This window comes from Homo sapiens, chromosome 11 (assembly GCF_000001405.40).
Source record: "Homo sapiens chromosome 11, GRCh38.p14 Primary Assembly".
NCBI lineage: Eukaryota > Metazoa > Chordata > Mammalia > Primates > Hominidae > Homo > Homo sapiens.
This window is the reverse complement of record NC_000011.10, coordinates 16,714,308-16,736,471: the sequence shown is the minus strand read 5'-3', so window position 1 is coordinate 16,736,471 and position 22,164 is coordinate 16,714,308. Positions and strand designations below refer to the sequence as shown.

The 22,164-nt window shown below is 37.5% G+C and overlaps 1 protein-coding gene across 1 annotated transcript in view, besides 1 other annotated feature; it reads left to right on the top strand.

Moving 5' to 3' along the window:
- SOX6 (SRY-box transcription factor 6) overlaps nt 1–22,164 on the top strand; it is a 772,029-nt gene that overhangs the window by 2,006 nt on the left and 747,859 nt on the right. Inside the window, exon 2 of the mRNA NM_001367872.1 lies at nt 21,567–21,642. The gene's annotated coding sequence lies outside the window, so the exon portion shown is untranslated. The remainder of the gene's footprint in view (nt 1–21,566; nt 21,643–22,164) is intronic.
- Nucleotides 8,384–8,584: a silencer, noted in NCBI's record as "peak1219 fragment used in MPRA reporter construct". NCBI's record gives its function as "represses an SCP1 promoter by STARR-seq MPRAs in K562 erythroleukemia cells {active_cell/tissue: K562}" and the evidence as "EXISTENCE:reporter gene assay evidence [ECO:0000049][PMID:32103011]".

Below are 22,164 nucleotides of genomic sequence, written 5' to 3'. Positions count from 1 at the left end.
ATTGTTGGCACCTGGATGGTAAATCTTCAAGTTACTGTGAAACAAGATCACAAACGAAAAAGTAACATAGGAAATACTAAAGACTGGGACATTTTATCAGATTTTACTCAGTTTCATATACAGAAGGCTATAGGTAAGGATGAAATTATACAGTGTAATAGAATGCATATATGCCACAGAAACTCAGTAATGCTCCTCTTTCTTGTATTGTAAAAACAAAGATACACTATCATGAGTGAAACAATGAAATACCTCCTTCAGAATTGGGACTGTTGCATCTGCATTTTTGTTTCTGGCGCAATGCCTGCCACACGGTAGTTAATAAATGTTTCTGAATTAATATAGGAAGGATGAAATTATATAGTACCAGAGTGGTATCTTATATGAGGCCTAGAAACTCAGCAATGTTCTTCTTTCTTGGGTAGTAAAGACAAGGAGAGGAGGCCCTGTCACTGAGAACTTTACATTTTTTTAAATTTTCCCAACATTTAGCATGTAGTGGGCAGTCACAGATGTTTGTCGAGTACGTGCTCTCAACCAGGGATAGTCATGATTGACCATAGTTAAAACTGAAGAGGAAATAAAGGCTTTGAAGATTATGCTGTGTACAAAAAATCTGCTGTTTCACTTGAGACTAAAAAAAAAAATTCCTAGGGCCTTAATTACAGTTACCATTTATTAAATACCCACCATGTACCATATACTTTGCTAGGTGCTTTTTATAGGTGATTTTTACAATTGACCTCAAAGTTTCACAATAATTTGCAAGAAGTAGGGAATTTTATAGGTAATTAAACTTAAGAAAAGTTAAATACTTGCTTAAAATAATGTAGCTAGTGAATGATTCAGTCCTTAAGTCTAATTCCAAAAGCCAGTGCACTTTCCACTGTGCCAATATAACCCAACATTAAATAAGATGCTTCATATATGTCAGGAAGTGTGCCAAGTTTGAGGAAAACCAGAGTGAATAATGCATAATCCTTTACTGCAAAGAGTTTACAGCTTGGCAGGAGAATGATTAAATGGCATCAGTAAATTACAAATAAAATGCTGTAGAACAGTTCATTTTGGCTGAGGGAAATTGGAAAATTATTTCCCAAAAGTTTTTGAGCTAGGCCTTGAAAAAACAGTTTGGGCAGGATGGGGCATATATTCAGTGATGGTTAGTGTCCAGTGTGCTGAAACCTGATAAGCCTAAAAGTATTGTATTCTGAGACAAAATTCTATAGGCTGATCAAAGCCGGGCTGTGAAAAGCCTTGAGTTTAACTCTCTCACTATATGGGTTCAGATTAAGATAATCTCTTCCATAGATCTGTGTGACCTGTTTTCTAATACTTCTCCATTTAAATTCATTTTATGCATTCTAGGCAGATTCAGCCTCTGAAAATGGAATGTAGAGATTCTACTGCTCAAAAACTTCTTGGAGCTCCCCATTTTATACAGAATTAAGTTGATAGAATTAAGCCTATAATTAAAATAAGAATTCAGTTCTTGAGGTCAGAATAAGGTCGATATTCTGATCTCAATAATCCATTCCAGTCTTATTTTCTACTATTATCTTTAACTTATCTTGATTAGCCCACCACAACAAAAATAAGTGCTATAATAAAGGTATTGAACAAAGATACTAGTCTTGTTGACTGTTCTAGACTCTCAGCTGCTTTTGGGTAGGATCTAAGCTTAGCACCATGACATATAAACTATCACTCAATAGATATTTGTTGTTTTAATATATGAATCGGTGAGGTTAGAGAGGAGCAAGTTTATGTGGTAGGATGACTTTGATTTTAGACATGTTAAAGTATTAGTAGGACACCAAGTGGAACTGTTAAAAATATGGGCTTCAAAGTTAGGAGAGAGCAATAAACTTAGAAATCACCCATCTAGAGGTGGTGGGTCAACAAGGAGAGTAACTAAGCTTACCTAGTGAGTGCCTAGAAGAGAGATACTTGGAAAAGAACAAGAAGGAGAAGATTTAAGGATAGAATGAGGAAGAAGAGCCTGAGGTTAGAAGGTAGACATAGAACTAGAAGAAGGAGAGGTTAGTGTCATTGAAGCAAAGGGAAAAAATGTGAAAAATGCATTATTCCACTGTGGTGGACTATGAGATGAAGCCCATTTAGAAGCTGATTTTAAAGGCATAATATAAATGCAACTCTAGGGTCTAACACAGAATCTTGAAAACAAGGTATAAATAAATACATATTTGTGGTTGATGATGGTTGATGATTGGGTAACTCCCATTCTGTCCATTGGGCAGGCAGATTTGTCAGAGTGCTACTGTGATTTAAAATGTGGCACTATAAATATTAACTTGATTATTTTACACATACCTAGGAACTTAAATGAAAAAGGAATGAAAAGGGAAATGAAAAATGTATTGCTTAAAATTGCTTCAATAAAATTGTTGTTGATGTATATCTTCTTTTTTTTTTTTTTTTTTTGAGACAAAGTCTCGCTCTGTCACCCAGGCTAGAGTGCAGTGGCACGATCTTGGGTCACTGCAGGCTCTGCCTTCCAGGTTCATGCCATTCTCCTGCCTCAGCCTCCTGAGTAGCTGGGACTACAGGTGCCTGCCACCATGCCCGGCTAATTTTTTTGTATTTTTAGTAGAGATGGGGTTTCACCGTATTATCCAGGATGGTCTCGCTCTCCTGACCCTGTGATCCACCCGCCTCGGCCTCCCAAAGTGCTGGGATTACAGACGTGAGCCACCGTGCCTGGCCCTTTTTTTTTTTTTTTTTTTTATACTTTAAGTTCTGGGATACATGTGCAGAACATGAAGGTTTGTTACATAGGTATATACGTGCCATGATGGTTTGCTGCACCCATCAACCCATCATCTGCATTAGGTATTTCTCATAATGCTATCCCTCCCCTAGCCCCCCACCCCCAACAGGCCCCGGTATGTGATATTCCCCTCCCTGTGTCCATGTGTTCTCATTGTTCAACTGCCGCTTATGAGTGGGAACATGTCGTGTTTGGTTTTTCTATTCTTGTGATGGTTTGCTGAGACTCATGGTTTCCAGCTTTATCCATGTCCCTGCAAAGGACCTGAACTCATCCTTTTTTATGACTGCATAGTATTCCATGGTGTATATGTGCCACATTTTCTTTATCCAGTCTATCATTGATGGGTATTTGGGTTGGTTCCAAGTCTTTGCTATTGTGAACAGTGCTCCAATAAACATACATGTGCATCTGTCTTTAAAGTACAATGATTTATAATCCTTTGGGTGTATACCCAGTAATGGGATTTCTGGGCCAAATGGCATTTCTTGTTCTAGATCCTTGAGGAATTGTCACACTGTCTTCCACAATGGTTGAACTAATTCACATTCTCACCAACAGTGTAAAAGCGTTCCTATTTCTCCACATTCTATCCAGCATCTGTTGTTTCTTGACTTTTTAATGATTGCCCTTCTAACTGGTGTGAGATGATTGTAGTTTTGATTTGCATTTCTCTAATGACTAGTGATGGTGAGCTTTTTCTCATGTTTGTTGGCTGCATAAGTGTCTTCTTTTGAGAAGTGTCTGTTCATATCCTTCACCCACTTTTTGATGGGGTTGTTTTTTTCTTGTAAATTTGTTTTAAGTTCTGTGCAGATTCTGGATATTAGCACTTTGTCAGATGGATAGATTGCAAAAATTTTTCTCCCATTCTGTAGGTTGCCTGTTCACTGCAATGATAGTTTCTTTTGCTGTGCAGAAGCTCTTTAGTTTAATTAGATCCTATTTGTCAGTTTTGGCTTTTGTTGCCATTGTTTTTGGTGTTTTAGTCATTAAGTCTTTGCCTGTGCTTATGTTCTGTATGGTATTGCCTAGGTTTTCATCTAGGGTTTTTATGGTTTTAGGTCTTACATGTAAGTCTTTAATCCACCTTGAGTTAATTTTTGTATAAAGTGTAAGGAAGGGGTCCAGTTTCAGTTTTCTGCATGTGGCTAGCCAGTTTTCCCAAAGCCATTTAGTAAATAAGGAATCCTTTCCCCGTTGCTTGTTTGTGTCAGGTTCGTCAAAGATCAGATAGTTGTAGATGTGTGATATTATTTCAGAAGCCTCTGTTCTGTTCTGTTGGTCTATATGTCTGTTTTGGTACCAGTACCATGCTGTTTTGGTTACTGTAGCCTTGTAGCTTAGTTTGAAGTGAGGTATTGTGATGCCTCCAGCTTTGTTCTTTTTGCTTAGGATTGTCTGGGGTATATGGGCTCTTTTTTGTTTCCATATGAAACGAAGTAGTTTTTTCTAATTTGTGAAGAAAGTCAATGGTAGCTTGATGGGGATAGCATTGAATCTATAAATTAACTTGGGCAGTGTGGCCATTTTCACAATATTGATTCTGCCTATTCATAAGCATGGAATGTTTTTCCATTTATTTGTGTCCTCTCTTATTTCCTTGAGCAGTGGTTTGTAGTTCTCCTTGAAGAGGTCCTTCACATCAATTCTAAGTTGTATTCCTGGGTATTTTATTCTCTTTGTAGCAATTGTGGATGGGAGTTCACTCATGATTTGGCTCTCTGTCTATTATTGGTGTATAGGAATGCTTGTGATTTTTGTACATTGAGTTTGTGTTCTGAGACTTTGCTGAAGTTGCTTATCAGCTTAAGGAGATTTTGGGCTGAGATGTTGGTGTTTTCAAAATATGCAATCATGTTGTCTGCAAACAGAGACAATCTGACTTCCTCATTTCCTAATTGAATACCCTTTATTTCTTTCTCTTGCCTGATTGCCCTGGCCAGAACTTCCAATACTATGTTGAATAGGAGTGGTGAGAGAGGGTATCCTTGTCTTGTGCATTTCAAAGGAAATGCTTCCGGTTTTTGCCCATTCAGTATGATACTGGCTGTGGGTTTGTCATAAATAGCTCTTATTATTTTGAGATACATTCCATCAATATCTAATTTATTGAGAGTTTTTAGTATGAAAGGGTGTTGAATTTTATCGAAGGCCTTTTCTGCATCTATTGAGATAATCACATGGGTTTTGTCATTGGTTCTGTGTATGCGATGGATTACATTTATTGATTTGCGTATGTTGAACCAGCCTTGCATCCCAGGATGAAGCTGACTTGATCGTGGTGAATAAGCTTTTTCATGTGCTGCTGGATTTGGTTTGCTAGTATTTTATTGAGGATTTTCACATAGATGTTCATCAGGGATATTGGCCTGAAAATTTCTTTTTTTTGTTGTGTCTCTGCCAGGTTTTGGTATCAGGATAATGCTGAACCCATAAAGTGAGTTAGGGAGGAGTCGCTCTTTTTCTATTTGGAATAGTTTCGGAAGGAATGGTACCAGCTCCCCTTTGTATCTCTGGTAGAATTCGGCTGTGAATCTGTCTGGTCCTGGGCTTCTTTTTGTTGGTAGGCTATTAATTACTGCCTCAATTTCAGAACTTGTTATTGATCTATTCAGGGATTCGGCTTCTTCCTGGTTTAGTCTTGGGAGGATGTAGCTGTCCAGGAATTTATCCATTTCTTCTAGATTTTCTAGTTTATTTATGTAGAGGTGTTTGTAGTATTCTCTGGTGGTAGTTTGTATTTCTGTGGGATCAGTGGTGATATCCCCTTTATCATTTTTTATTGTGTCTATTCGATTCTTCTCTCTTTTCTTCTTTATTAGTCTGGCTAGTGGTCTATCTGTTTTGTTGATCTTTTCAAAAAATCAGCTCCTGGATTTATTGAATTTTTTTGAAGGGTTTTTCATGTCTCTGTCTCCTTCAGTTCTTCTCTCATCTTAGTTATTTCTTGTCTTCTGCTAGCTTTTGAGTTTGCTTGCTTTTGCTTCTCTAGTTCTTTTAATTGTGATATTAGGGTGTTGATTTTAGATCTTTCCTGCTTTCTCTTGTGGGCAATTAGTGCTATAAATTTCCCTCTAAACACTGCTTTAGCTATGTCCCAGAGATTCTGGTACATTGTGTCTTTGTTCTCATTGGTTTCAAAGAACTTATTTATTTTTCCCTTAATTTCGTTATTTACCCAGTAGTCATTCAGGAGCAGGTTGTTCAGTTTCCATGTAGTTGTGCGGTTTTGAGTGAGTTTCTTAATCCTGAGTTCTAATTTGACTGCACTGGGTCTGAAAGACTGTTGGTTTTTACTTCCGTTCTTTTGCTTTTGCTGAGGAGTGTTTTACTTCCAGTTGTGTGGCCAATTTTAGGATAAGTGCAATGTGGTACTGAGAAGAATGTATGTTCTGTTGATTTGGGGTGGAGAGTTCTGTAGATGTCCATTAGGTCGGCTTGATCCAGAGCTGAGTTCAAGTCCTGAATATCCTTGTTAATTTTCTGTCTTGTTGATCTTTCTAATATTGACAGTGGGGTGTTAAAGTCTCCCACTATTATTGTGTGGGAGTCTAAGTCCCTTTGTAGGTCTCTAAGAACTTGCTTTATGAATCTGGGTGCTCCTGTATTGGGTGCATATATATTTAGGATATATATATATATATATATTTAGGATAGTTAGCTCTTCTTGTTGCATTGATTCCTTTACCATTATGTAATGCCCTTCTTTGTCTTTTTTGATCTTTGTTGGTTTAAGATCTGTTTTATCAGAGACTCGGATTGCAACCCCTGCTTTTTTTCTGCTTTCCATTTGCTTGGTAAATATTCCTCTATCCCTTTATTTTGAGCCTATGTGTGTCTTTGCACGTGAGATGGGTCTCCTGAATACAGGTGGGTATTGACTCTTTATCCAATTTGCCAGTCTGTGTCTTTTAACTGGGGCATTTAGCTCATTTACATTTAAGGTTAATATTATGTGTGAATTTGATCCTGTCATTATGATGTTAGCTGTTTATTTTGCCCATTAGTTGATGCAGTTTCTTCATAGTGTCGATGGTCTTTACAATTTGGTATGTTTTTGCAGTGGCTGGTACCGGTTGTTCCTTTCCATGTTTAGTGCTTCCTTCAGGATCTCTTGTAAGGCAGGCCTGGTGGTGACAAAATCTCTCAGCATTTGCTTCTCTGTAAAGGATTTTATTTCTCCTTCACTTGTGAAGCTTAGTTTGGCTGGATATGAAATTCTAGGTGGAAAATTCTTTTCCTTAAGATTGTTGAATATTGGCCCCCACTCTCTTCTGGCTTGTAGGGTTTCTGCAGAGAGATCTGCTGTTAGTCTTATGGGCTTCCCTTTGTGGGTAACCCAGCCTTTCTCTCTGGCTGCCCTTAACATTTTTTCCTTCATTTCAACCTTGGTGAATCTGAAAATTATGTTTCTTGGGGTTGCTCTTCTCGAGGAGTATCTTTGTGGTGTTCTCTGTATTTCCCGAATTTGAACGTTGGCCTGCCTTGCTAGGTTGGGGAAGTTCTCCTGGATAATATCCTGAAGTGTTTTCCAACTTGGTTCCATTCTCCCCATCACTTTCAGGTACACCCATCAAATGTAGGTTTGGTATTTTCACATAGTCCCATATTTCTTGGAGGCTTTGTTCATTTCTTTTCATTCTTATTTCTCTAATCTTGTCTTCATGCTTTATTTCATTAAGTTGATCTTCAGTGTCTGATATCCTTTCTTCTGCTTCGTCAGTTTGGGCATTGATACTTGTGTATGCTTCATGAAGTTTTCGTGCTGTTTTTCAGCTCCATCCATTCATTTATGTTCATCTCTAAACTGGTTATTCTAGTTAGCAATTCCTCTAACCTTTTTTCAGGGTTCTTAGCTTCCTCACATTGGGTTAGAACATCCTCCTTTAGCTCGGAGGAGTTTATTATTACCGACCTTCTGAAACCTACTTCTGTCAGTTCATCAAACTCATTCTCCATCCAGGTTTGTTCCCATGCTGATCAGGAGTTGTGATCCTTTGGAGGAGAAGAGGTGTTCTGGTTTTTGGAATTTTCAGCATTTTTGTACTGGTTTTTCCTCATCTTTGTGGATTTATCTGCCTTTTGTCTTTGATGTTGGTGACCTTCGGATTGGGTTTCTGTGTGGACGTCGTTTCCGTTGATGTTGATGCTATTCCTTTCTGTTTGTTAGTTTTCCTTCTAACAGTCAGACCCCTCTGCTGCAGGTCTGCTGGTATTTGCTGGAGGTCCACTCCAGACCCTGTTTGCCTGGCTATCACTGGCAGAGAATGCAGAACAGCAAAGACTTTTGCCTGATCCTTCCTCTGGAAGCTTCATCCCAGAGGGGCACCTGCCAGATGCCAGTCAGAGCTCTCCTGTGTGGGGTGTCTGTTGAGCCCTTCTGGGAGCTGTCTCCCAGTCAAGAGGCACTGGGGTCAGGGACCCACTTGAGGAGGCAGTCTGTCCCTTAGCAGAGCTCGAGTGCTATGCTGGGGGTCTCTCAGAACCAGCAGGCAGGAACGTTTAAGTCTGCTGCAGCTGCGCCCACAGGTGCCCCTTCCCCCAGGTGTTCTGTCCCAGGGAGATGGGAATTTTATCTATAAGCCCCTCACTGGGGCTGCTGCCTTTCTTTTAGAAATGCCCTGCCCAGAGTGGAGGAATCAAGAGAGGCAGTCTGGCTACAGTGGCTTTGCGGTGCTGAGGTGGGCTCCACCCAGATGTATATCTTCTGTTCTGGCCACAAAGTCTATGTATACATAAAGCAGCAATATTCCAATTGGTATTGTCAAAAAGAACCTATGAGTTTAAATTAGTGGGTAATAATCCTTTTTAAAAAAGAAAATTCAAATAATAAACACTGATCCAGAGCATATGAAGTTGAAAAAAATTAAAAAAGAGAATTTGAATAAAATTTCCCCTAACATTCCTGTGTTGTTCTTGTCGGTTATAAAAGTAATATGTCTCTGGATGTGGTGTCTCAGGCCTGTAATCGTAGCATTTTGGGAGGCCGAGGTGGGCAGATTCTTTGAGGTAAGGAATTCGAGACCAGCCTGGCCAAGATGGTGAAACCCCATCTCTACTAAAAATACAAAAAAAAAAAAATTTGCTGGGTGTTGTGGCGCGTGCCTGTAATCCCAGCTACTCAGGAGGCTGAGGTACAAAAATTGCTTGATCCTGGGAGGTCAAGTGTTCTGTGAGCTGAGATCACACCATTGCATTCCAGCCTGGTCAGCACAGCGAGATTCCATCTCAAAAAAAAAAAGAAGAAAGTGATATTTCAGTATGAGGCTGGCTAAATAAATTATGTTACATCCATACAGTGGAATACTATGTAGCCATTGAAAAGAAAGATGAAGCTCTGTAGGTACTGATATGGGGCAGTCTCCAAAAAAAAAAAAAAAAAAAAAAGCAAGGTGAATATAGCATATAAAGTGAAGTACATATATTAAATTGTGTCTGTATTAAAAAGATGGAAAATAATCAATGTATATTCATGACATATTTCCCCAAAAATATCCAAGAAACCCATCACAGTTGTAGACTCCATGGTTGGAGTAGTGGTAGATGGGGGTTAGGTGTACTGGTAGCAAGGAGGTTTTTCACCATGCTTTTTCTGTCTTTTGAACTTTGAATTATCTGAATATATTAACTAAAAATTTAACTGTAAGTTAATACACAAGTAAGTAAAATTGGATTTTAAAAAAGTCAGGGTCACAAATATAAGCAGACTCACACAAAAATAAAATCATTCGTTGGAAAAGACATGGAAAATAAAAACACAAAAAGGAAATAAAATCACTTAGTAATGCCATAGTTCTGAGGTTATCACGGTTAATATCTAAGCATAATTCCTTCTAGTCTCTTTATTCTAGTGATTTTGAGGATATTACATTTTGGTCTTAATACTTTGTTTTCAATGGTTATATTTTAGTTTTTGCTCTAATCAACAGTAAAGCAATATCTGAGTGTCTCATCAGTCCCCATATTTGTGAATAATTTAGAACCTTTACTTTTGCCCTGTTCTTCCCTCCCTGACTTCCAGGATAATATAATTTAGAGTTTTAAATATAGATTATTGTTATTGCATAAATTGTTATATCACATGTATTTTCCATCAATAATAATATCTTGGCATGTGCCTTTAGGCTTTTTAAATAATAGCTTTACTGAGGTAAAATTTACATACTATATAATTCACCTGTTTAAAGTATACAATTAAATTTTTTAATGTAGTCACAGAGTTGTGCAACCATCACTATTGATTGTATTTATTTATTTATTTTTGAGACAGTCTCACTCTGTCACCCAAGCTGGAGTGAAGTGGCGTGATCTCAGCTCACTGCAACCTCTGCCTCCTGGGTTCAAGCGATTCTTGTGCCCCAGCCTCCTGCGTAGCTGGGTAGCTGGGATTACAGGCGTGCACCACCACACCCAGCTGATCTTTGTATTTTTAGTACAGATGGGGTTTCACCATGTTGGCCAGGCTGGTCTTGAACTCCCAACCTCAAGTAATCCTCCCGCCTTGGCCTCCCAAAGTACTGGGATTATAGGCGTGAACCACCATGCCCAGCCATCACTGTTGATTTTATAACATTTTCATCACCCTCAAAAGAAATTTTATACCTGAGGTAGATATTAGAAGAACCTGAAATAGACCTTTTCCCAGCTAAGGTTTAAATTTAACTCTGAGTTTTAAGACAGTTCAAATAGAAAAGGAGGTATTGTTTTTGGTGGTCATTAACTAAACAATTTAAAACAATTAACTTTATATTTAACATTCATGTTTCAAAAATCTAAAATTAGTACAGAATAAGAAGTTATTCTAAGGTTGTGCTGAAAATTCTAATTTTTTAAAAAGTTCATCTATTAGTAATACTATAACATCTATAAATAAAAAACACTTAATTTTCCTAACATTTCAATTAATTGAAATTTAGTTGACTTAAATCCTTAGCTAACTGAATTTTTCTTTCTTCATCCAAATGAGGAAAAATAGAGAGAGAAAAAAAGAAACTCTGCACCTGTTAGCCATCCCTCCTCCTTGTTTTCCTCTCATCACCCCCAACCCCAGGCAACCACTAATCTGCTTCCTATCTCTCTATATTTGCCTCTTCTAGCCATTTCATATAAATGGAATCATACAATATGTGGTCTTTTGTGACTGGTTCCTTTCACTTAGCATTTTTTTTCTTTTTTTTTTAAGACAGGGTCTCACTCTGTCACTCAGGCTGGAGTGCAGTGGCATGATCTCTGCTCACTGCAACCTCTGTCTCAGCCTCCTCAGTAGCTGGGACTATAGGTGCGCACCACCACACCCAGCTAATTTTTGTATTTTTTTGTAGAGGAAAGGTTTCACCATGTTGTCCACACCGGTGTCTAACTCCTGGGTTCGAGGGGTCCACCCACTTTGGCCTTCCAAAGTGTTGGGATTATGGGCATCAGCCACTGCGCCCAGCCACTTGGCATGTTTTTAAGGTTCACTTATATTGTTGAATGTATCAGTACTTCATTCCTTTTTATGGCTGAATAAGATTCCATTGTATGGATATACTGTATTTTGTTTGTCCATTCATCAGTTATAGGCATTTGGGTTGTTTCTACTTTTTTCTATTATGAATAATGCTGCAATGAACATTTGTGTAGAAGAGATTTTGTGTGACTTTGTTTCCAATTCTTGTGGGTATATGTCTAGGAGTGGAATTGCTGGATCATATGGTTACACTATATTTAACTTTTTGAGGAACTGTCAGACTGTTTTCCAAAGTGGCTGTACCATTTTACATTCCCACCAGCAGTGTATAAAGAGTTCAATTTCTCCACATCATTGCCAACATTTGTCATCTTTTTTATTATAAACATCCTAGTGGGTGTGAAGTTACCTTCAGTGTTGAAACTACGTTTGAGTAGTTTTATGACAAAAGATGAGATGTGCAAAACACCAAGTATACTAATGAATATATATACACACACATGCACTAAAGTCTAGAGAGGAAGAGATAAAATCTTATTAATTTGCAGCAATGGTTCCCAAACGTTAATGGGCATTGGAATCACCTGAAAGATGTTTTGTTTAAGCCTAGATTGCTGAGCCCTACCCCAGAGTTTCTGATTTAGTAGGTCTCTGATGAGTTCCAAATTTTACATTTCTAACAAATTCTCAGATGTTGCTGCTGCTGGTCTGAGGACCACATTTTATTGTCCTTTTTTTTTTTTTAAAGCCTACAGCCTTTCTGAATGAAGACCACGTTTTTAGAACCACCAACTTGACAAACATGTTGGTAATGCTTATTTTGTGCCCAGTGTGTTCCTTACATATGCTTTACATTTGTTACATACTATTATTATCCTGTTTTACAGATCAGGAAACTGAGGCAGAGTAGAAGTAGTGGAGCTGATGGCCTAGTCTGGCTCTAAGTGTTTATGCTGTTAATCACTATGTTATGCTGCTACACAGAGTTAATTCACATATGGTATACATGTTTATTGAGTGAAAACTTGCAAATAATTTTCTGCAAATTTGGGATGCTTACCTCCAAGAAAGGAGACTTATCCTCTTTCAAGACAACAGTCTAAAAATCCAAGTATTCCCTCAATGTGCTTGTGTGTATCAATTAACTAATTAGTTATTATATTCAGTAATTTAAAAATTACTTATATGTTTAAGGCCCAGTTTTATGTAATATAGTACAAATGTGAATTATAATTTGTATACAAACTAGTGTTGTTGAATCAGTGGTTTTGAGACTTCAGAGAGTCACAGAAATTCTTTGGGCGTCAAGTTTCTTCATCTGACTATGCTTCTGTGATTTGGATTTAGTTGTTCCATTGTAAAATTCAAATAACGACAATCATTTCTTAGTTGAGAGGGGAAAGGGGAAAAATCGAGAGGTTGGACTTTTCTTTCTTTTTTATTTTTTGAGTTGGAGTCTCTCTCTGTCACCCAGGCTGGAGTGCAGTGGCTGTCTTGACTCACTGCAACTTCTGCCTCCCAGGTTCAAGTAGCTGGGATCACAGGCCCCCACCACCAGGCCGGGCTAATTTTTGTATTTTTAGTAGAGATGGGGTTTCACCATGTTGGCCAGGCTGGTCTCCAACTCCTGGCCTCAAGTGATCTGCCCTCCTCAGCTTCCCAAAGTGCTAGGATTACAGGTGTGAGCTATTGCGCCTGGCTGTAGATGGACTTTTCTCAGTTTTTTTTTTCTTTTTCTTTTAACTTTCATTTTAGGTTTGGGGGTACATGTGAAGGTTTGTTACATAGGTAAACACATGCCACAGAAGTTTGTTGCACATATTATCTCATCACCCAGGTATTAAACCCAGTATCCAATAGTTATCTTCTCGGCTCCTCTTGCTCCTCCCACCTTCCCCCTCCGCAAGAAGCCCCCAGTGTCTGTTGTTTCCTTCTTTGTGTTCATAAGTTCTTATCATTTAGATGCCTCTTATAAGGGAAAACATGTGGTATTTGGTTTTCTGTTGCTGCGTTAGTTTGCTAAGGATAATGGCCTTCAGCTCTATTCATATTCCTGCAGAAGACATGATCTCATCCTTTTTTATGACTGCATAGTATTCCATGGTGTATATGTACTATATTTTCTTTATCCAGTCTATAATTGATGGATAATTAGGTTGATTTCATGTCTTTGCTACTGTGAATAGTACTGCAATGAAAATTTGTGTGTGTGTGTCTTATGGTAGAGTGATTTATATTCCTTTGGGTATATACCCAGTAATGAGATTCCTGGATTGAATGGTAGTTCTCCTTTTAGCTCTTTGAGGAATTGCCATACTGCTTTTCACAATGGTTGAGCTAATTTACGCTCCCACCAGCAGCATGTGGGTGTTCCCTTTTCTCTGCAACTGTGCCAGCATCTGTTGTTTTTTACTTTTTAATAACAGCCATTTTGACTGGTGTGAGATGGTATCTCTTTGTGGTTTTGATGTGTATTTCTCTAATGATAGTGACATTGAGGTTTTTTCCATATGCTCATTGGCTGCATGTATGTTTTCTTTTCAGAAGTGTCATTTCATGTCCTTTGCCTTTTTTTTTTGAGACAGAGTTTCACTTTGTTGCCCAGGCTGGAGTGCAGTGGTGTGATCTTGGCTCACTGCAGCCTCTGCCTCTTGGATTCAAGTGATTCTCCTGTCTCAGCCTCCCAAGTGGCTGGGATTAAAGGCATGTGCTACCACACCCAGCTAATTTTTGTATTTTTGTAGAGACAAGATCTCACCATGTTGGCCAGGCTGGTCTTGAACTCCTGACATCAAATGATCCGCCTGCCTCGGCCTCCGGAGTGCTGAGATTACAGGTGTGAACCACTGCACCCGGCCCATTGCCCACTTTTTAATGGGGTTGTTTATTTCTCTCTTGTAAATTTGTTTAGTTTATTTAAGTTCCTTATAGATGCTGGATATTAGACCTTTGTCAGATGCATAGTTTGCAAATACTTTCTCCCATTCTGTAGGTTGTCTACTTATTCTATTGATATAGTTTTTTTTCGCTGTGTAGAATTTCTTAAGTTTATTATAGTTTTGCTTTTGTCGTGATGGTTTTTGGTGTCTTTGTCATGAAATCTTTGCCCATTCTTATGTCCAGGATGGTATTGCCTAGGTTGTCTTTCAGGGTTTTTATAGTTTTTGGTTTTACATTTAAGTCTTTAATCCATCTTAAGTTGATTTTTGTGTAAGGAAGGGGTCCAGCTTCCATCTTCTGCATATGACTAACCAGTTATCCCAGCACCATTTATTGAATAGGGAGTCTTTTCCCCATTGCTTGTTTTTGTCAGCTTTGTCAAAGGTCAGATGGTTGTAGATGTGCAGCCTTATTTCTGGGCTCTATTCTGTTCCATTTGTCTGTGCAATTTTCTGTATTATTCCATTATCACAGTGCTATAAAGAACTCCCTAAAAGTGGGTAATTAATGAAGAAAACAGGTTTAATTGACTCACAGTTCTCCAGGCTATACTAGAGGCATGGCTGGGGAGGCCTCAGGAAACTTACAATCATGGTGAAAGGTGAAGGGGAAGCAGTCAAGTCTTCACACGGCTGGCAGGAGAGAGAGAGAGAGAGAGAGAGAGAGAGAGGGAGGGAGGGAGGGAGGGAAGAGAGAGAGAGAGAGAGAGGGAGGGAGGGAGGGAGGGAGGGGGGGGAAGAGAGAGAGAGAGAGAGAGAGAGAGAGAGAGAGAGAGAGAGAGAGAGAGACAGAAAAGACCCACCCATTGCAGTGACACTGAATCAAAATTCAGGCGGCTGCTTGTCAGTTGTGAAGGGATCTTTTCCAGCAGATCCATCAGCGCTCAAGTTTCCCCCTTGGGGGAGAAAAAAAGTTCCCCATGTCCCATGATCTTGTACATACCTAATCCTATCACCCATAGCCATCAGCAAAGAGTGCAAGGCAGATTAATCCAAAGAGAATAGCGGTTCACATTCCATAGTGCCAAATCCATTTTTAACCAATGTAGACTTTTCTGAGTGGGGCCTCTAACCCCCTAAATCTTAGGAAGGACTCTAAGCTTCCTAAGTTGGGCCTTGAACCTAAGTTTAATCAAGCGTCCTTGCCTTTTATTAAGAGGGGCCTTTAACTTTCTCTGTCTTAGGAGAGATTGTCCTAAGTTGGGCCTCAGGCCCATTCGCGTCCTTCACCTGGGTAAAATGTACCCCACTACTTACCCAAAGTTGGCCAATTGGTGCTACAGTCTATTTCCTTTGAGTTGGGGGTCTCCTCAGTATAGTCCCTTTGTGGTTCACTGGGAAGATGCTACTGGACTTTTCTCAGTTTTAAGATTTTATCCCTTAAAATTTTCTCAACTTCGAAAAGTTACTGATAGGAAAACTCAAAGTTGATCATATTTTGTTTGACAGCTTGTTTCCTCATGGATATTTTGTTTGTGATTATGTTTTTATATTGCATACATAAAAATTACTCATACTTTATACAGTATTAACTATTTCATATATCAGTATTTCTTTTTTTTTCTTTTTGTGTGCATCTTTCTTTTTTTTATTATTATTATACTTTAAGTTTTAGGGTACATGTGCACAATGTGCAGGTTAGTTACATATGTATACATGTGCCATGCTGGTGTGCTGCACCCATTAACTCGTCATTTAGCATTAGGTATATCTCCTAATGCTATCCCTCCCCCCTCCCCCCACCCCACAACAGGCCCCAGAGTGTGATGTTCCCCTTCCTGTGTCCATGTGTTCTCATTGTTCAATTCCCATCTATGAGTGAGAACATGCGGTGTTTGGTTTTTTGTCCTTGTGATAGTTTACTGAGAATGATGATTTCCAATTTCATCCATGTCCCTACAAAGGACATGAACTCATCATTTTTTATGGCTGCATAGTATTCCATGGTGTATATGTGCCACATTTTCTTAATCCAGTCTATCATTGTTGGACATTTGGGTTGGTTCCAAGTCTTTGCTATTGTGAATAGTGCCGCAATAAACATACGTGTGCATGTGTCTTTATAGCAGCATGATTTATAGTCCTTTGGGTATATACCCAGTAATGGGATGGCTGGGTCAAATGGTATTTCTAGTTCTAGATCCCTGAGGAATCGCCACACTGACTTCCACAGTGGTTGCTTTGGTTCTGTTTATATGCTGGATTACATTTATTGATTTGCATATATTGAACCAGCCTTGCATCCCAGGGATAAAGCCCACTTGATCATGGTGGATAAGCTTTTTGATATATCAATATTTCATTATGTCTTTATAATTTACTAATGTTCCATGATTTAAACTGATATAAAGTGTTTTTGTTTGTTTGTTTGTTTTTTGTTTTTTGAGACAATTTTGTTCTGTTGCCCAGGCTGGGGTGCAGTGGTGCAGCCTCTACCTCCTGGGATCAAGCAATCCTGTCACCTCAGCCTCCTTAGTAGCTGGACTACAAGCACATACCACCTTGCATAGCTAATTTTGTTTATTTTTTGTAGAGGTGAGGTCTCACTATGTTGCCCAGGCTAGCCTCGAACTCCTGGACTCAAGCAATCCTCTGGCCTTGGCCTCCCAAAATGTTGGCATTACAGGTGTGAGCCACTGTACCTGGCCTGGTGTGAAGTTTCTGAAGTTTATACTCACCTCAAATATTCTCTGATATGCCTTGATTATATCAAGGTACAGAAAACTTTACTAAACATTTCTAGGTGATACATAAGAAAGCATGTTTACTAATTAGTAAATTATATCAGGAAAATTTGTTAAAGACTTGGAAGCAGGCAAAACTGATAACTGGGTTTTCTTTCAGGGGAGTGCTGAATGTGTAGGGACTCTCCAGGGATTATCTGATTCTAAATGAGTGTGTACTTTTGATCATCTTTGATTGACTAGGCTATTTTACAACTCTGTAGAGGGATAAAAGTTAAATTTTATACATCTGAAAAGGATGCAAATGATTTTGGCCCATAACAACGCAAATGATTCCTATTCTTGGCAATGCAAATGGACTTTATCCAGTAGAGAATACAAATTTCTGTAAATCAAATTCTGTAATGAATCGGTTTTAACTTACTGGTTTCCTCATTAATTACTCAGTTAAGTAAACTCTTTGACACTCAACATTTTGACTCATGCTGTTTTTAAATTTATATGACTTATAATTTTACAGTTTTGGAAATTACATTTTAAAATTATGTACTTGTGTAATATGAGTAGTTAAATATAAGTGTATACCTTTGGATTTCTCTGTCTCTCTCTTTTTTTTTTTTTTTTTTTAATTTTAAAAATAAAGGAAAGGTTTTGCCATGTTGCCCAGGCTGGTCTCCAACTCCTGTGCTCAAGCAATCCATCCACCTTAACTTCCCAAAGTGCTGGGATTACAGGCATGAGCCACCACACCTGGCCTATATATGTGGATGTTTTAAAAGTACCTATATTATGTGCTGAAAAATAATAAAACAGCATTTATTTTTAAAATGAAGAGTAATATTTTCCCTTGTCACAAACAATGCATATACACTGAAGATAAATTAAAATATATTCAGAAGCAAGAATAAAATTAAAAAATAAAAACATTTATAATCTCACCACTCAGGAATAATAATCACTATTAAGACCTTGGAATACAGTGTTTCAGACTTGTTTCTTGGCATATATGTAATTTATTTCTGAACCAGGATAATATGTACATACTGATTTAAAAAAATTTAAACACATAAATGAACATGTTTTGGCTGGTATTTTTTGAAGATTGCATTTCAGCATTCCTGAAGAGGGGGTCAACAAAGCTTCTTGTTAGCTATTTTAGCTGTAATAACTTTGCAGGTGACATGTTATTATTTTAGAAATGAAAGCATAAGTGGGCACATTAAATCACCAAATAAAGAAGAAATTCAAGCAAAATATTTTAATTCTCTAAGTCATTAGAGATGTCCATTGTGTATGGGATCTTAGAAGTCTGCTTGTATGTGTATCATGAGGAATGAAATTTTTTTTTTTTTTAAATTGTTGTTTGTTTTGTTTTGAAAAAGAAGCCTGCATGGAGGTTATTGGGGGATTGAGGATGGGGAAGAACTCAAGACTACAAAGGAAATGAAGCCTGGAACATCAGTATAGGAAAGCAGTCCTATCTTAGCTGTTAACATTTAAAAAGCCCTTTCAAGGACTAAAGAAATAAAGGCTACAAATGTCTGGAGCTTGAAATGGCTTTTATACTTTTGAACCTGTTACAAAAAGCTTTTCTTAGAACTTTCCTTCTTTTCCCTCCCCCAAAACAAAATGGTTGGAAAAAAAAAAAAAAAGAAAAACAGGAAAAGAACAGTTATAATGGATGTTGCCATAGCTTATTTTACATTTCTGAGCCAGAAGAAAAGCTTAAAAAAAAAAAAGAACAAAGAGGAAGAGTTGCCATATTTTAAAGTCTGAAGGAAACGAGGAGAATAACTAGTTATATCCTTGAATTTTTGTGAATTGTGAATAGCTCAAATGTAGGTGCATTTCTAGAAGGAATCAATACTTCTTGATTGTGCTACTGCTAAACTTGTTTACAAACAAGCTGCAAAAAGTAAGAGAAAGAGGGTAGTGTGTATTGAGACTGTTCTGTTTTTAATACGGTAATTGAATACAAATGTTCTATATCTGTTTTCATGAAGAGTAAGTTTCAAAAAGATATACAAAGGACATAGGTTACCAATTCTTATAAAGTTCCTCACCAAACAGCCAAGAATGATTTTCCTTCCTTGTTTTATGACTTATTCATTATTTTATTATAAAAGAAATAGAAAAATGAATAACATTTGGTGACGTGTAGATTTTTTTCTTTTAGCATTATAAATCAAGATTTCAGAAGAAATCCTAGTTCTTTCTAATGGAGTCTAACTCTCTGAAATTAAAAACTTAAAAAGTTCTGTAATATAATATGAAAGTTCTAAATTTTAGTCTCATTACTGATACTGATAGGATCTTGGCCAAGTCACCTAACTTCTCACAGAGCCAAACTAGTTTATTCTAAGTTTCTTCCATCTGTAACGCTCTGTGATTCTATGAGTTTAACAAATATGAAAGTAATCTTAAGGATAAAACCACATTTAAAAAACTCAGTTTAGCAAAAATATTCCTAATTTCAAATGATATTTTAATTCATAATATAAAACAAAATTTTAGTATGACCACAGATTTTATTTTTTGATTTATATTTTGATGAAAACATAATAGACATACAGAAAAGTATACAAATCATAAGCATATATAGCTCATTCATCACAAAATGAACATATCTATATAACCACTACCTGGGTCAAGAAATAAAACATTTTCAGTGCCGCTGACTCCTTCCTTCCTTCCCAATTACTATGACCCCCTCAAAGGTAACTATCCTGACTTCTAAGATCATAAATTAATTTTTTTCTGTTTTTGAGCTTTATTTAAATAGAATCATACAATTTTTTTATATCTAACTTCCTTTACACAATGTTATATTTATGAGAATCATTACTGTTTTTTAGTAGTGGTTGGTTCATTTTATTCTATATAGTATGCCATTGTATGAATTCATTTGTTGATGGGTATGTGAGTTGTTTCCAGTTTTTGACTTATTATGAATGATGCTGCTATGAACATTTTTGTATATTTTTTATATAAATGTGCATGTGTTACTGTTGGGGATATGCTTAGGAGTAGATAATAATGCCAAAAGGTTTTCCAAACTGCTTGTACCAATTTATACTCCCATATGCTCAGACCATAAAATTTGAACTGTTCCTTTACAACCATTGAAATGAAATGATCACTAATATGAAGCATGTGAACTTTCTCAGAAGAAAATGATACATGGATACTGACCAGCCTTACTAATACCTTTTTTTGTTTTGTTTTAAAGAGATGGGTTCTCTCTATGTTGCCCAAGCTGGCCTCCAGCTCCTAAGCTCAGGTGATCCTCTGGCCTCAGCCTCCCTAGTAGCTGAGACTATAGGTGCATACCACCACACCTGATTACTAATGCTTTTTATTTATTTTTTTTCAGACAGAGTCTTGCTCTGTCACCCGGACTAGAGTGCAGTGGCACAGTGTCAGTTCACTGCGACCTCCGCTTCCTAGGCTGAAGCAATTCTTGGGCCTCAGCCTCCCAAGTAGCTGGGATTACAGGTGTGCACCACCATGCCTGGATAAATTTTTGTATTTTTAGTAGAGACGAGGTTTCACCATGTTGGCCAGGCTGTCCCTGAACTCCTGGCCTGTACTTGATCCTCCCACCTCGGCTTTCCAAAGTGCTGGGATTACAGGCATGAATCACCGTGTCTGGCCTCTAATGCTTATTTAAAAAAATATTATAGTACTATTCTTTGGAGACTAGAACTTTGAAATTTCTTACTACCTATCATTTGATACAGGGAAAAGCAGTTGATTTTTTTTTCTTTTTTGCTAATTTTTGTTCCTTCAAGGAACTGAGAGTAGTTGGAAAAAAGTAAAACTTCAAAACCATTAAACTATTGTTTTAATCTTTTTTTTTACTTCCTTGCTAAGCAGTGTTTTAATAATAATAAACACTTTTAGCTGTTACAGTGTTTTTGAATATATAGTACTTTTTGCTTTGAGTAGAGAGGAAATTAATGTTTATTATCTATTCCTACAATGTTTCTGTTCCTCTTTTATTCCCCACTCCTTTTTTTTTTCTTTCTAATTCTCATTAAAAGTTTAAGTTTTCATTAAGGACCTTGCTTCCTATGGGCTATCCACAACACATTAATTATAAACTATTTCTTTGGGGAAAATAAAAACACCAAAAACTAACTTAACTATAAAAATCTTATTTATTATAGCAAGACAATGCTATTCTACAGAAATATAATCTGAGTCACAAATGTGAATCACATATGTAATTTAAAATTTTCTAGTAGCCATACTAAAAAAGGTGAAAAGCAACAGGTGGAATTTATGTTTATAATATATGTTATGTAACCCAACATATCAAAAATAGTATTATTTCAATATGTAATTGTAAAAATTACTAATGAGAGATATTTTAGATTCTTTTATTCAAAAATCCGGTGGGTACTTTATACTACAGCCCTTCTCAATTAAGGCTAGTCATATTTCTAGCACCTTAGAGCCCCATGTGGCTATTGGCTATCCCGTTGGACAGTGCAGGTTTAGGCTTTCCATAACAGAATGGGAGCAGGTCCCATGCTGTACAAGGTAAACATGATTTACTCATGCTTTTAGTAACATTCCACTGTAATGTACTCTAATAATGGGTCATTTATCTATGTTTGACACAGGATTTTTTTAGTTTCTATAGTGGGAAAGGGCTCCAAAGTACTGAAATTTATTTTTTGAAACTTTTCCAACAGGACTGTTTTGCCGGATTCTAAATGACAACTTTTAAATCAGAGCCTTGAAATCTACAGAAGTCCAATATATACTGAGGTAATTTGCATATTCTAATGAGGAGCAGCAAGAGACACATCTGGTAGACATAAAAGACCTAATGAAAATTAAAAGACAACGGCTGGGCGCAGTGGCTCACGCCTGTAATCCCAGCACTTTGGGAGGCCGAGGCGGGCGGATCACAAGGTCAAGAGATCGAGACCATTCTGGCCAACATGGTGAAACCCCGTCTCTACTAAAAGTACAAAAATTAGCTGGGCGTGGTGGTGCTCGCCTGTAGTCCCAGCTATTCGGGAGGCTGAGGCAGGAGAATTGCTTGAACCCGGGAGGCGGAGGTTGCAGTGAGCCGAGATGCGCCACTGCATTCCAGCCTGGCGACAGAGCAAGACTCTGTCTGAAAAAAAAAAAAAAAAAAAAGAAAGAAAATTAAAAGACACATTTGGAACAACTGGTAGGTAAATAACAAAGGTATTTATAATAACCTCTTTTTTATGAGGGAAATTTTTCTGAGGGAAAAACAATGAACATGACATTGTATGAAAAGAACTTTGAAAGTTTAGT